Source organism: Homo sapiens, chromosome 5 (assembly GCF_000001405.40).
Source record: "Homo sapiens chromosome 5, GRCh38.p14 Primary Assembly".
Lineage (NCBI taxonomy): Eukaryota > Metazoa > Chordata > Mammalia > Primates > Hominidae > Homo > Homo sapiens.
The window spans coordinates 168,828,781-168,844,569 of record NC_000005.10 but is presented as its reverse complement, the minus strand read 5'-3'; the positions used below and the strand labels follow the sequence as shown (position 1 = coordinate 168,844,569).

Below are 15,789 nucleotides of genomic sequence, written 5' to 3'. Positions count from 1 at the left end.
CGATCGCTGCCTTGTGTGTGCGTGCATGTGTGTGTATGTGTGTGTGTCTGTGTGGGGAGGAGAGAGGGGGAGAGTGTGTGCAGGAGGGTCTGTGTGAATGCATTTCTGGTCTCTGCTGCAGTGCTATTAAAATTGGGAACCAGGGGATCCCTCCGGCTCACCTTGGTCAAAGTGTTTGCAGGCAGCCAAGTGTGATTTCTTACCTCCCACAAACTGAGGTTCCTGCTAATTAAGTCTCAATTGAGTCTTTCTCCTTTTCCCCCAGTGCTCCTGCAGCATTCGTTGCTGGGAGAAACAGATGGGCTGGAGCAGAACCCCCCAGAGCCTGCCACAGCATCAGGGACAGTGTGTTTGAGTGCGGGCACACTGGGAGACAGGGGCCGGGGTTGGGGCCAGAGAGAGGGGTTAGTGCCAGGAGGTCAGCTGGAATTACCTGAATCAGAAAGGGACCTTGGCACAGGGCAGGGGAATGCCACACAGCCTGGGAAAGCCCAGTCATTGCTATTGCTCCTGGGATCTCATCTCAGGCTTCAATTCAAACTTTAAACAGTGACCGTGACCTTAAAGGGGCCAGGGGTAGGGGGGCGGGGGGCAGGAAATAGGGGGAGATGAGAGGAGACAGCCCCTTCCCCAAAATCCTACCCTATACACCTTGTCTAGAAAGAATGTGTAGCTGCCTTTCTGAGCTCTGGATTTTCAAATGAGTCTAACTAAGAAAACCTAACTCCCAGGAGGAAAGTCAGCTAGGAGTCATCTTGGGGTCATTCCAACTAAAGTTGAATTGTGTAAGAAAACATTTTGGTTATTCTCACCAAAGCTACACTTCTAGCTGTCCCTGATTTAGAGAAGCCCAGAGAGGAAGGCAGTACAGCACAGGAGAACCTGTGCCACTTCTGTCAGGAGACGTGTGGTTGAGTCCGGATTCTGCCACTGATTAGTCGTGTGACCTTGGGCAAGTCTCTTCGGCTCTGGGAGCCTCAGTTTCCTCATTTGTAAAATGAAAGGGTTGGTTGCTCTGTCTTGGGAGTGACTTCCCCTTTCCAAATTATGTAGCTGCTTGGTTCTAAAAATAATTCCCATGGTACGATTCTAGCCAGTGACTGATAGCAGAGTGGGGTTTCTCAAGCCTCCTCCTAAAAATAAAAAATTACACAGTCACAGGTTACCTATCTCTGATTCCAGAAGAATCAATGAATGCCAAATAAACAGGTGAATGAATATTTTGAAGCATTCCTTTGTATGTGAGAGAATGAGTGAAAGGTCCTCCCTCCACCTTCCTCTTCACCTGGCCCCGCAGATACTAGCAACGGGTTGGAGAGAGCCTCTCCACATTATTTGAGAGGAAGGTGATTCCAAGAGGAATCACGGGAAATAAAAGGGGATGCTGATGCTGCAAGCTGCTTGAAATCGGATGAAAGCCGAGAATTCCCGGTCCAGAAAAGACAGGACCCACAGCCAGGGAGGTCAGATTGTCATTTCTGAGATAGATTGTCTCTCCTCACTCAAACTCTGACCCTGGAACTGGCAACAAATGCCCGTCTGCCAGAGAGAGGATGCCAGCCCAAATTTAGTAACCTAGGACTCCTCTTATCAGGAGGCTGGGGCTGAGAAGGGTAGGCAGGATTTTCCCTGCCTGCAAAATAGCATTTGTAGAAAGGGCTGCTCACAGCACATCACCTTTTTCCTCCCTTGACAGAGAGAATGAGAAAGATGAGAAAATTCCTTGGGAAGAGACCAGGAAACGGAAGTCACCAGCTGCCACGAAACAGCTGTGACAACCTGACAGCCCTCACGGTCATTCTCTGTGCTAGGAACGGTGTTGTCTTACCTCACCAGGAAGGCAGTCTGAGGGAGAAGAGAGGGCTTTACAGCCAGACACACCTGGGTGGGGCTTGGGTCAAGTGTCTTCATCTCTCTGAGTCTATCTCCCCAACTTTTAAAAACAGACAGTGTATGTACTACATAGGAGGGGCTCTCATAACTGCCATCCCTTCCACTTTCCTAACTTTGCCCCCATACACCCTCACCCCCATCAAGCCCTTGCCCAGGACAGATTTGGACAGCTCTCCTCTACTCAGATACAAAAAAAAAAAAAAAAAACGAAAAAACGGTATCCAGATGCACCAGGTGTCTCCAAGTTGAAGCTTTAAAAACCTGTGACTGAAAGAAAAAAAAAAAAGTTCTCATTCCTTATCATTGCAAAGAGCCCATAGGATCTGATTAGTTTATCTTCTCAATTCCAAACAAAGCCAGATCAATAGCTTTGTTTTAAAGACACTCTCATTTGGCTTCACATGGCTAAGTACTTAAAATTAATCATAATCAGTTATTCCATGGGTTTTTAATTTCCAGCAGAGGCACACAGCTTTGAAACCATCCATCTTAATGGTGAGCCATTCTGAACTTGGCTGGAGCTGACATCTCCATTTAAAGAACCTCCCCTCCCCACCCCTAGACCTTCCAAATCTCATCCACACATTGACATTTTATAATGCTTCTCTGTAATCACAATTTAGGCTCCATAAAGAATCCTGACAATGAAATAATAAATAGGAACTCAGTGACAGTATTACACATTAGCTTGATAAATTTCTGAGTGAAAGAGGAGAGTTCAAAACATCCTATCCCCAGAAAGAGCATTTTAAAATATCTAAAGCTTAAAAGTCTGCAAATTAAGAAGACAAAATGTAATGTTTCGGGTATGTTTTCTCTGACATTAGGCAGCATGAAGTAGAAATCAAGCAAAGACACATTGGTTGTCCCAGAAAGCTCTCAAATTAACTTAAGGAAAGTGTATGGATGTCAACTGCAAGTAGAAGTATTTCGCATGCAATAACCCTGTTATTCCATCCCTCCTGTGGATGGAAATACCATAAAACTTCTTTCCATCGAGGCTGACAATGGTTTTACCAGTTACATTGAATGAGAACATTGGAGGTGAGCCTGAGAGGGAACCACTGACTATGTATGAGAAGAAATGAACTGGTACAAGGTTGGGAAAGACTGAAATCTGCCCACTTCAACCTCATTTTTGACTCATTCCCGATGGGGGATGTCCAGTGCAGAGTATGGTGGACAGGGAAAGGAGCCATCCCCTCCCCTTTCCAGGAAGTAAGAAGAAAAGCATAGTATCGGGGGCGAAACTTCTCATTCCTTCCATGCCACTACGGAGGAGGAATAATGAGGAAAATGAAAATCGCTAGCAGTTACTCAAGCCCAGTGATACCACCAGTGCTTTTACATGCACTAGCTCTTGCCATCCTCACAATCTCTCAATAGAACTACTGTTACCCTCACCCTGCTTTTACAAAAAAAGTAGCCCATCTCAGAGAAGGCAAGTAACTGCTTAGCTAATTAGCAGCAGAGTCTGTGTGATTAACCATTCTACCAAGCTGCCTTTTGGATGCATGTTGCCAAGGCTGCCATGGTGTTTGGCTGCCCTGAAGCATGGCGGCTGTGGGCTGCAGGGTGGTGTGAACTGGCCTCAAGAACTGATGGAGGCAAACTAGCAATGACTCACAATCCCGCTGGGGAGAATGTCGGAGCCTTTCACAGGCTTGTGAAATTGGCCCTGCCATTCCCTTTACCCAGTTAACGGGTGCCCACAAAGTTGAAGGTAAATCAAACTTGCAGGAGTAAGGAACTCGTCCTGCTTTTTCACTGATACACTTGTCGCCCCAGAGATGATTTATTCCCACTCGTGGCCATTGCCATAGACTTTGGCACTCCACAGTTTGGGGGCTCTACTTTCTAGAACTGTCTCCCCCTCCTAAAAAAATACAGCCTCAACTTTGTGGCATTTAAGGTTCTTAATTGAGGGACCGAGGCTCTGTGAGTCAGACCCTCTGCTGTTACTCAAATCATTGCCCTTTAATTTCCACCTGTTCTATGCTTTTGGTAATTCGCATACAACACTAGGTTTTCTCCAAGTAAGTCGTGCTTATACTGCAGTTGAATATGCCAAGACTGCATTCCTGGCTCTGTGTGGTCAGGATGCACTGTGCTGGTGCTCTGAGCCCTGGGTTTCTAGCCCATACCAGCCAGGCTGAGGATGGCCAGGCATTTCACCAGTTATAGTGGCACCTCCCTGACTAACGTACCATCATGGGTCAGAAAAAAAAAAAAATGCTTAACTCTAATGAAAAAAAAAAGTAGGGACAAGTTAAACAAAAATGAGAAAACCTGATTAATAACATATGTCATGAATTGTTTTTCGGTAGTATTATGGGAGAATAAAAAATACTTTTGGACATTGTCCCTTGACTAAAGGTAGCAAGTCAGAAGTTCAATAAATACGTTGTCAAAAATGCCGGACCACAGATAACAGAAACACATCCTGAAAATGCTCTCATCTCCTGGTGATTGGTCTGCCCTTGAGAAATCACTGGTGCCAGGTAAATGGCATGGAGATCCCAACAGGTCCATAGATAACCGGCGTGTGCTGTTTGGAAGCTCTCACTCCCATTTATGTCACTTGCCAATTTTGGAAATTCACTGACATTATTATAGGTTGGCGCTGGTAGGACCTTAGGTGTCTCCAGGATGACCTCTCACTGTCCAGATTAAGACCCAGAGAGCAGGCACTGGAGAGAGGCCCATGCCACCTAGCATTCTGCACCCTGAGCACCTCGCCTGGTTCACCCTAGGCCTGGCCCTGGCTAGGAGACTTGCCTGAAGTCAGCAGCAAGTTGGCGGTAACAGGGGAACTTAGAATTTGGGACTCCTCACCCGTGTTTCTGTCCGCATTGGGCACCTATATGCAATTGTTCAGAAGGGAGCCCCTGGTAAGATTGGGAATCCCAAGCATAGTTCATCCTTTCAAAACCCACCATTAAGTTTTGGGTATTATTTAGGAGACTGGGGGAGGGCAAATGTTTGTCTGTGACAGAAACAAGGGATGATCCGGCTCTTAGCTCTCTTTAAACCGGAGGCTACAAACTAGACCACACACCATATTGCTCCCATAGGTGAGATTTTTCTTTTGTCCTGTGGAATGTTTTTTAAAAATTGAAATTAGCATTTCACATTTAAAAATTGAGATATCTTACATAAAAAGCCCAGATTTCCAGCTTCTCTGGAAAAACTAGAAGCACTGGCAACTGTGGGCCGGCATTTCTGCATTGCAGTCAGCTGTGGCTGGGGAACACCTGTCCTCCTTGGACGGGGCATGTAGACCCCACTCTGCCACTGACCCCTACCAATTTACATTAACTGCCAGCCCACGTGGCCCCTGTGCTGACCCATCCAAGAAGAAAAGACACGCTGTGTGGCCAGCACAGTGCTGGGCGCTGGGTACAGTAAAGCTTGAAGTGAGCAGGTGCTTGGCAGGCTGAGCTCCATAGGCCAGAGCTCACCAGCATGATGGAGTGGACACACAGAGAGAGCTTAGTGATGTGGAGTCCAGGACGCCCGAACCTAAGCAAGGACACCCCAGAGGCAATCACGAATCCCTCATGTCTCACCTTCTGAGGAGCTCTTCTCAAGGGTTAAACTAGTCTCCAAATTGCCTTTGATGTTACAGCAGTTGTAATTGGTTTTATGCCTATGAGGGTGAAAAACAAGAGGTGACCCTAGCTCCACGTCTTCATCACAAGAGCCGCCCCACCTGCCCTGGTTCTTGTTCCCCAGGCCCCTGGATCAACTGGTGTACTGAGGCCACCAAGCCCACGTTTAGAGAGGAGAGATTGAAGAGTTAAAGCAATAGCAGAACTAACCAGATTTTTAGGGTAGTTCTAATTCAGTCATATCCTGGTGGGTTCAACGTGGCCTGATGCGGAACCCCACAGGTAGACGCAGAAGAGTGAATGGGGAAAAGGTCATTTTCTGGTACAAGAGGAAGGCAGTGGAAAAAAATCGACAGCAGTCCTGAAACCTAGGTCAGGGTGTGCTCACTCTCCTAGAGCGGGGTTGGTGTCCTGGTACAGGGTGTTAGGATATTCAAGCACGATGTTGCCCACTTCAGAGAACCCAGAGTTTAATGCAAGTCGCAGTGTGTTGGCCACTTCAGCTGAGCTTCCTCTGGATGCAGAGCCAGAGGATTAACGAATAATAATAATGACGTAACGATAATATATAGTACCATGGTACAATAATTATTAGTATGATTATATTATCTTGTTAGAGTCCCATGTTTGAGCATCTACTATTTTTGAGAGTCTACTTCTATTTTTGAGCATCTTTAGGTACTGTGATAAGTCAGTAGAATGAGGCATCTCAATTAAATCTTCACCACAACTTTATGAGGCACATCCTAGGAACTGCATTTCACCAGTCAGGAAACTGATGCTTAGAAAAGTTGACTGACTTGCCCAGAGTCACAGTGGCAAGTACGAGGGGACTACTCTTTCCGAACTCAGATCCAGTTCTGCCTGATATCTGAGCACCTGCCCTTAACAAAAATAAAAATTAAAATTAAAAGCACCTACCGGAACACACATACATAGAAACAATTATATGCACTAGTGAGATCATTATCTGTAGTGAATGCCCAGAAAACTTCAGAAACCATAGTTATTGAAACACTGACCCTTAGGGTGCTTAGATCTAAATTTATGACCTCAGCTTAATCAGCAACAGATCCAGTTCCACAAAACTGCCCCAGACATAAAGGTACAGAGCCATGGTTGAGCTTTGGAGGGGTTAGAGTCCTCTCATAGAACCAGCTTCCAGCTCATCTTTACCAGACTAGGTGGTTTGGAGTTCATTTCCTTATTGAAAAATGGAAACTGTAATTCCCAACCCTGAGAATAGCTGTGTTGGTTAAAAGAGATATCGTTGGTGTGTGCCTAGCAAATAGCAGGCTCCCAATCGGGACGCTCATAATAAGTAAAGCTGGTAAATACTTCTGTACTGTTTCTCTGCTTTATGTCCACATCTCACTCACTCCTGGCACGTACTAAGTGGCCGGTTAAAGTATGTGGAACCAAATCGAGTTGAAATTAATTAACTGAATTGAAGCCCACAACACCAGTCTCTAGAGTCCCTGTTATGGCTTGTCTCTGAAGAGAACAAGATATGGTTGTCCTGGAATCATTTTAAATGTTGAACAACGTAGTATTTTACTGAACCAGTCCACTTTTCACATTACCTTTGATTTTGCATTTCTCTGGCTAAATGGTGATCTTTCTTTCTCATTTTAATAAGGAACAAAATCGGAGCTACAGTGAAAATTGGTGTGTTACAGCAGAGACTAGACTCATTTTTATTTATTTATAAAATGTTTCACCTGGGTTTCTCTGGGAGCTACAAACATTTTATCAGGGTGTTTAGTCATGACATAGTTTTGAATATAGAACTGTCATGGCTTAATGAAAGTCTTAAAATATCTCCAGATATTTTTCTTTTGGTACTGTGCTGTAAATTGTGATATGTTCATGCAATCAGGATTAAAATTGCACTCTATAGAAAGCATCTGTAACTTCCATTCAGCCCCTAGAATACTAGGAAAGAAACTGGGTTTTCTATAAATGCTCTCGTGCCACTCAACACACACCTCCTTCTTAGTCATCCAGACTCCAGGTTCCATGACAGTCATGCTCTTCAAATGACTAGCTTGGTTTTGAGAACCCCAGCTTAAGGAAAAAGTAAAAATTACTTTGAAATCTAAATTTTTTTTTTCCATTTAAGTAAGTAGCACTTTCACCTTTAAAATACCTGGAATCTGCGGGAAACTTGTGGTTTTCTAGTTGATTTCACTTTCCTGTTAACCAAAAGCTAGTTTCATCTCTGAAGTTGAAAATGTATTGGTGTACATTCCTGGGTTAAGAGGATGTGGAGAAGATAATTGAATTGTTTTTGATCAGCAAAGGATCTTGAATCAACGAACCTCCTGTTAACTTCTCCCGTGAGTAGCGCTTAGGGGGAGTCGGCAAGTCGTGGTGGTCTTGCTGTCCCCAGGGGCCACACATTCCAGCTGCCAGATCTCTGCACTGGAATTCAGACTTGACAAACTTGGTTTGGGAGCAGTCTTTTGAAATGCTTTGTCCCACCTAGAACAAATGGGAAAAATAGTTCTCCATGTTTGGAGAAAGATTCCAGAGAGTTTTCTTTCAAGGGCAAGATGTGGAGGGCAGGGGAAATACCGTAGAGCAGCCACATGCCTACAGCGGTCAGTTCACTCCTAAGACCGGGCTTCTGTGCTGATTTGCAAAGGTGCCCCTGCCTGATGGTCAGCCTCTGCCCTTTCACCATCCCCTCAGCTCCCAGCAGGGGCTTTGGTGACCAGTATTTGAGAATGTTTAGTGAATAACTTGCCTCTAGATCAGCGCTCATCCCATGACACTCATGGACCTCCAAGCCAGGGAGCCTTGTTCCTCTTGAACAGCCAAACCTGCCTGCCACAGCTGCTGCCATTCCCACCAGGGATGCCCAAGATTGGACAGCTCAGCTTACCTGTGGCTGAGAGTCTGCTTTTCTATAGACCTGAGTCTTGAAAGTCAAGATCCTAGGAGCTTTCACAGGAATTTGGCCCTCTCCTACCCACTGGCTTAATGGAAGGAAGGATGATGTGGAGAAGGTGATGGAGACACAAGGCTGGGAAGAACAGGATCAACATTGCTACTTTTCCCTGAGCTTTCATTTTCTATCTTTGAAGGTATTAAAAAGTAAGGGATGGACCAGGTGAAGTAGATCATGCCTGTAATCCCAATGCCAAGGCAGGGGCATTGCTTGAGCCCAGGAGTTTGAGACCAGTCTAGACAACATAGCAAGACCTCTACACAAACTAAAACAAAAACAAAAACAAATTTTTTTTTTTTTTTGAGATGGAGTCTTGCTCTGTCACCCAGGCTGGAGTGCAGTGGTGGAATCTGGGCTCACTGCAACCTCCGCCTCCCCAGTTCAAGCAACTCTCTTGTCTCAGCCTCCTGAGTAGCTGGGATTACAGGTGCCAGCCACCACGTCTGGCTAATTTTTTTGTATTTTTAGTAGAGACGGGGTTTCACCACGTTGGCCAGTCTGGTCTCGAACTCCTGACCTCAAGTGATCTGCCCACCTCGGCCTCCCAAAGCGCTGGGATTACAGGCATGAGTCACCGCACCCAGTACAAAAAACAAAACAAACAAACAAAAAAACAACACTTTTTTTTTTTTTTTGAAGTAAGGGATGGTGGATGAAGGAGGGATGAAGGAAATAATGACTCCATTTCTCCAAGGTCATATTTGGATTCTTCAAACTCATTGTCAAAAAGCTCTAGAGAGTCCATTTTCTTTTAACTTGTAACTAAATCGGAGGACTCCAACTGCTGGCCCATGGGTTGAATGAAAACAGCAGATGTGGGATTTTATATTTTTCTTTAATTTTTTTGTTTACAAATAATTAGAATTTGTTGCCAACATTTAAAACTCAAGTAATTTTATGTAAAATTTATAATTCAACTTCCAATGAATATCTAGAAGGTTTGCCAACCCTGGGCCCGCCTGTGGCTAGGATCTCTCCAGCAGCACCGTCCAATAGAACTTTCTGTGATGAGGGAAATATTGCATCTCTGTGTTATCCAGGATGGAAGCCCCTGGCCACACGTGACTCTTGAGCACTTGAAGTGCATCTTACACAACTGAGAAACTGAATTTTTAAATTTTTAATTTTAATTGATTCCAGTGTGAATTGCCACGTGTAGCTCATGGCTACCTTATTGGACGGTGCAAGCTGGGAGCGAAGTGTGGGTGGGTACCCTGTCTGGACAGGGCATGTTCTGCAAATCACCATAGCTCCCACCAGGTCTGCTTCCCTGTCCTGCTCCAAATCTCTCCAGCCATTTCACATCCATTAAGAATGTTTAAACAGTGTCTTTTCTAGCAGTAAATCTTTGAAATATCTGCCACTCCCCTCACCTTCCACCTCCATCTTTTTTTTTTTTTTTTTTTTTTTTTTTTTTTTTTTTTTTGAGACAGAGTCTCGCTGTGTGTCCCAGGCTGGAGTGCAGTGGCATGATCTCAGCTCACTGCAACCTCCACCTCCCAGGCTCACCTCCTGCCCTCAGCCTCCTGAGTAGCTGGAATTACAGGCATGCACCACCATACCTGGCTGATTTTTGTATTTTTAGTAGAGACGGGGTTTCACCATGTTGGACCCCCCGGTCTCAAACTCCTGACCTCGAGTGATCCGCCCGCCTCTGCCTCCCAAAGTGCTGGGATTACAGGCATGAGCCACTGTGCCCGGCCCTTTCTCCATCTAAATTTAAGCATCTGGGTCTTATACCCACAAAACACCCATTTTTATCCAAACCTGGGAGTGTGATCCTTACAACAATGGCCCACCAAAAGGAAGCCCTTTCAGTGTAAATTCGTTCCCTGATCCCCATTATTTGCTTCTCACAGCCTTGCAAATGACTTCCACAAAGTCAACTGGGTAAGAAAATCACTCCCCTGCCTGAGCCCTTCCTGTCTCCACAGGTATACTAGAGATGCGGCAGCCGGTTAGGGAACCAAGCCCATTAACCCCACAGAAGCTGAGCCAGGTATTTGCATAAACAGAGAAAGAAAAAGAGCCGGCCCTGCCTCACTGTTTTCACATGCTGCACACTGGGGGCTAGTTGTGACTTCCAGACTTTGGCCAGATGTCCTGTCTGTGCAGAGCTGGGCAGATCTGGGCATCCATGACCACTTCTTCTAACATCTGGAAAATGATTCCCAATCCAGAAATGCTATTTTAGAGCCAGCACAACCCAATTGGAATTAGAGAGTGAAATTTAGGCTAGAAAGACCCTGGAGGTCAGCTGGTTCCACCACTTCATTTAAAAAAAAAGAAACTCCCTCACAAAGGTTAAATGACTTGCCCACAGCCATAGGAAAAATTCGTGGAAGAACCAGGCCAGAAAGCAGGTCTTTTGGCTCTTTATCCAGTTCTCTTTATTGCTGTCTGCTTGCCCCTATATTAGCAGACAGGAAACAATAGTAAGTGAAGCCAGCTTTCATGTCCTGTTCATGCCATCACCTTTTAATCTCTAGCATTTTGCTAGAGGGAACGTTTTGCATTCAGCATGAGGACAACACCCTCCCTTTCTAGGGCCTTCCAGGCCTTTGGCCACTGCTTGGGAAATGGCCACTCTAGTGCCCAATAGATTGTCCAGTCAGATGGCAGTCTGGAAGAGACCAGATTCCACATCATTGATCCCTGGCTGCCAGGGATGACCAGAAACCCGTTGAGTAAGCACTGGAGTCCCCTGCCCATTGCTGAGCCCAGTTAGCCCAAGCTGTAAATTGCACTCAGCTTCCTGGGAGACTCCCTCCCTTGCAAATATCAGAGGATAAAAAGCAGGACCTCTCTGGCATCTCAGCCCAGGAACAGAGCCTCATGCACCCTGTGCAGCTTTTTCTAACAGCTCTGAAGTGGCTCAGTTTCGACTGTCCACAAAAAGTGGCCTATATGTTTGGCCACAGAACTAATGAGTAGCATGCAAAAACCAGACAAGAGCTCACCTGCCTGGTGGAAAACAGTCTTACCTTTAGAAACAGAAACTTATTCAGGGCTCTTTGTCCCCAAGTAATGATGGTTGTGGGGGGAGAAACAATGAATAATTTACAATCATTTAAAGATAATTCATCACTGGTGGCTGCCCTTTGGGAGTTGCAGTGTAGAAGGAAGGTTTCAACTACATTTCACCATAATGCCATTGAAGCACTTTGATTTTCTTACTATATTTTTTTCTGATTTAAATTATTGAATGAATTTGTTTGGTTCGGAGACCAAAAACTGGCACCTGCAAGCCAGATCCAGCCCCCAGGTGTTTCATTTGTGGGTTTTGATACTCAAGGTGTTTTAGCTGCCAATATTAAAAAACCAGGAGACCTCATATGAAAATTCTAGACGTCTGGCTTTCTCTTTAAAAATAACAAAAGGGAAGAACTGGCAATGCTGCACCCCCATTCCAGCATAACACAGTCTCTTGAAACAAGAAGTGACGATCCCATTTAGTAAGGCTGGGTTTACGACAGTCCCCACGCAGCTCACTCACTTATATGACAAGCCTCACTCCCGTAGGCAATTGTGTTTGTACTCCTGGATTAGCCCAGAAGGCTGTTCAGAGTGGGAATTTATTTGTATCAAAAGATGCCAAAAACCTGACTGTTCATGCTTTGATATTCGCCAGCCCATTCAGTAAACAGTGAGGCTTCCTATGTGCCAAACACTGGGCCAGGCTCTGGCTACGTAACTACATGAAACAGACTTGCTCTCTGCCCATGCCTAGTATACACATTCATGGATATTTTCAAAATGTCCCTCTTCTTCCTCTCTTACTGGCTAGGCACCAAATGCAGCTGAGGTGGAAATTGCCTGTTTCTTCCCTTTTCAACTGCAAACTCACCTGTCCAGTAATGTAAGTTGGAGGTCACTCTTGCATCTGTGGACACGTTGGCAATTGCCTGATTTCTAAGTCAAGACTGTCCATGGTCTCAGTCTGTAGATGATGAAACAGAATTGGGAGACCAAGGCCATCTCATTCACATGGTCATTTAAAGTACATTTTAAAATAAACTCCATCATTGGAAGGCAGTTGAGCCATTCTGAATCACTGCTAGGCAGTATCTGTGATCATCTCAGTAAATGAATAAGGAGTTCTTCGGAGTCAAGGGACCCCCAAACACAGGATCTGATTGAGTAGTGACAGGATTTGAGGATTTATCTTTCTCTTTTGATCTTCCACTTTTAACATTTTTCGGAGGTATTGTTTTTCTTTGAACACCGAGGCTCTGCCGAGTGGATGGAGACGAATTTCTGCCTGTCATAATATGAATATATAATAAAAGAACCAAAGACAAGCCCTTTTGTTAAGGAATCTGTATTATCAAAGGCCCAAATTGGCAGCTGATTGTTTTTATTTATTTCTGTAGGTTTTACATGACACCTGGAGACCATTTAAAATGTTACTTGGCGGTGAGAGCTGTGTGTTTAAAAATAACGCTCACCCGGTGCCAAATCACTTTAGAGTCGGGTACAAATATTGAGACAAAAACCCCAGCTGTTATTGCTTTGGCTGCTAATTTGAGGTGTCAAATGAGAGCTCGACTGCTATACGTCAGTGAATAAGGCCCCTTGTGAGATCATTATGTTTTCTAACAGTTGAGAGTAATGGACTAATCAGTGCAGCATCAGTTGTTTTCATTATATGCCCACACAATGGTTATGAGCTTTAATTTAAACGGTCCACAGGGAGATCAAGGAACTCAGTAATATGCAGCACCCAGGATAGTCCAGGAAAGCAGGTAATGCGAAAGAGATGGCTTCCCACCCTTGTCTCACCTCTCCCTCCACTCTCCCCCACCCCCACCAATCTCTCTCACTCCTCCCGCCTCATATGCCCTTGGAGACCCATCGCCCACTCCAAACAAGCAAAAGAGAAGCTTTGCTTAAGGAGCAGGCAGATCTGTACTTTCTATTCTACAGGGTATTCTTAAAATTTCCAGTCAACCTATCCAACAGTAAGGGCCACTAGGCTTTTGGCAACACTGATACGTGTTAGCCAAACTTTGACCTTAGACGCCTTTGGGACCTAGTTGTCCTCTGTCCTGCGTTGCCTCTCCTGCTTCCCTCACTGTCTGTGCTGAGCTGTCCCTGCTCCTTGGACAGGAGGAGGGCTGTCTAGTGCTGTTGCCTTGGAGCAGCCTCAGCAGTGAGGCCAACACCATGTTCCCTGCCACTTCTGGGACCAGTAAAGGATGGGTCCCTCACAAACTCATGTGATTCACCTCCACCTTGGAAAAATGTGGAAGCTGGAAAGGTGACATCTGTCTGTCTGAAGACAATCCTGTAAGAGGCAGTTTTGTGTAATGATGAAAAATATAGGTCCTGGTGTCACACCTCTGGGCTTTGAATATTGGCTCCGCACCTCTGGCTGTGAGATCTGAGCAGAGTTTATGTCATTTCCTGGGCTTCCAAGTGGAAGTAATAATATCTCAGGAGTGTTGGGAGAATTAAATGAGATAATGTATGAAAAGTGCTCAGGCTAGTGCTGGGACTTAGTAAACACTTCATAAATAGTATCAGCATTATTTCTGCTATTATGAACATCATAGATACCTTTACTGGAAGATTTTGGCAAGCTTCAAAGCGATATCCTTGACTAGTCTAGCTCATTAGAGGAAAGTAGTGTGTTCACAGGAGAACCTATACTATTCTGCTTAGGTTTTCTCTAAGGATGCTTTATTGCATCGTTCTTATTCCTGGTTTCTGGAGCTTCCTAGAGCCCCCAGGCACATTAGAGCAGTGTACAGCTGGATGAGAAGGGCAAGTTCAACCTGGAGATGAGGGAAACAGTAAAGGGAGTTTCACTTAAAAATGATAGCGTACTTAGGAGGAGGTGCTGAGGATGGAGGCCCTGGGCTGAGCGGGAGGCTTGGGGATGCCCCTCTCAACCTGAGGTTGAGAGAGTGGGGTTGAGCATTCAGTGTATGCTCTCCTGGGACCAAGTCCACAAAGAGAAGCCATCCATGCAGATTCTAATAGAGCTGAGTCAGCCAATAACGATCACTCTTAGGACCTGAGTGTCGTAGGGCCTGGTCATCAGCAGTAGGCCCTGATTCCTGGTCCCATGTTGGCTGCCCATCAGCAGCTGCCCAGCAAGACTGAGAAGAGTGGCTTGCTTTGACCTGTGAGCCAGAGAGGAGAGCAGGCACATAAAGGACAGCCCCAAGAATCTGTAGTGTCCCCAGTTTCATTCCTCTTGCCCTGCCTGAGCCAAGCAAGAGGGATGGCCAGCAGTGAGTTCCCCTTGAGGTCCGCACACTGCCAGAACCCCTCTGTGCACATCGTCCCCTGCCTGTGGTTTAGGTGTTTCTCACAGGGTCCGGCCACAGGACTTATACTCTCAGCTGCTCTTCAGGAAAGGAGTCTGGTACTTTGGCTGCATCCACCTCTGTTAATTCACTGTAGGCACTGGCAGAGATTGCACTTTCTTCTAGGCTTGCTGTGCTGGCCATTGGATGCCCACATTTGTAAGTACAACTCAGGGCATGTCTCAGCCCACTTTATTAAATAGATATCCTGTCGTCATGGTGGCTGATGACTTACCAAGAGTCTCCTTCTTGGGGGCCATTAAGGAGGAAACCAGCTTGCTTATGTAGACTTAGGGAGAAGTCTATCTGCCTTGAGACAGGACATGAGTGGGCCAGCCCACCAAGAGGATCTCTTGGACCCAAGGAGTCTGGATCCCCACCTATGTGGATGGCAAGAGGAGAGATTCCAAGAATACCCACAGGAAGGTTGGCACACAGAGAGGCTGCAGTGGCACTTACTGCAGATGCCTGGTTTTGCAATTATGTGATACATGCTCACAGATAATATTGTTGCATTAGAGCCAATTACATGGTGTTATGGACACACAACACGCAGATTACAACCAGAGCCAGGAAAGCACAGAGTGAAAAAGCGATGGCCTAATCGGAGGAGACAGAGGGAAACATCAGCCTTATTAAGGTTGCCAGGGTGGGGTGGCTGCAGCTGGACGTGTCTCCTCCAGATCAAAGATGGCTATCTTGAGGGATGCAGTGGAGAGCCCCACGTTGACACTCAGAAGGGAACAGTGGAAGCCAGGGGCAGAAGCCAAGTTGGAGCTCTCCAAAGGTGGTTACAGCCACCTCCGTTGATTTCAGAGTTTAGGCTTCTTCCTAAGTGGGGAAACACCACGCCTGCCCCAGAAGAGGCCTTCAGTCCTAGTTGCTGCAAAAGAGCATCCTGTATACTACCCTCTACACTTAAGTAAAGGCTCTATTCTTAGCTTTTTCCGTAGTTCAATGGTTTTCCAACACGAACTTGCATGAGACTCCTCTGGAAAGCTCATTAAACACACAAGGC

The 15,789-nt window shown here is 45.7% G+C and overlaps 1 protein-coding gene across 3 annotated transcripts in view; it reads left to right on the top strand.

Moving 5' to 3' along the window:
- Window positions 1-15,789, top strand: part of SLIT3 (slit guidance ligand 3) — a 639,400-nt gene that overhangs the window by 456,570 nt on the left and 167,041 nt on the right. The window lies entirely within an intron of this gene.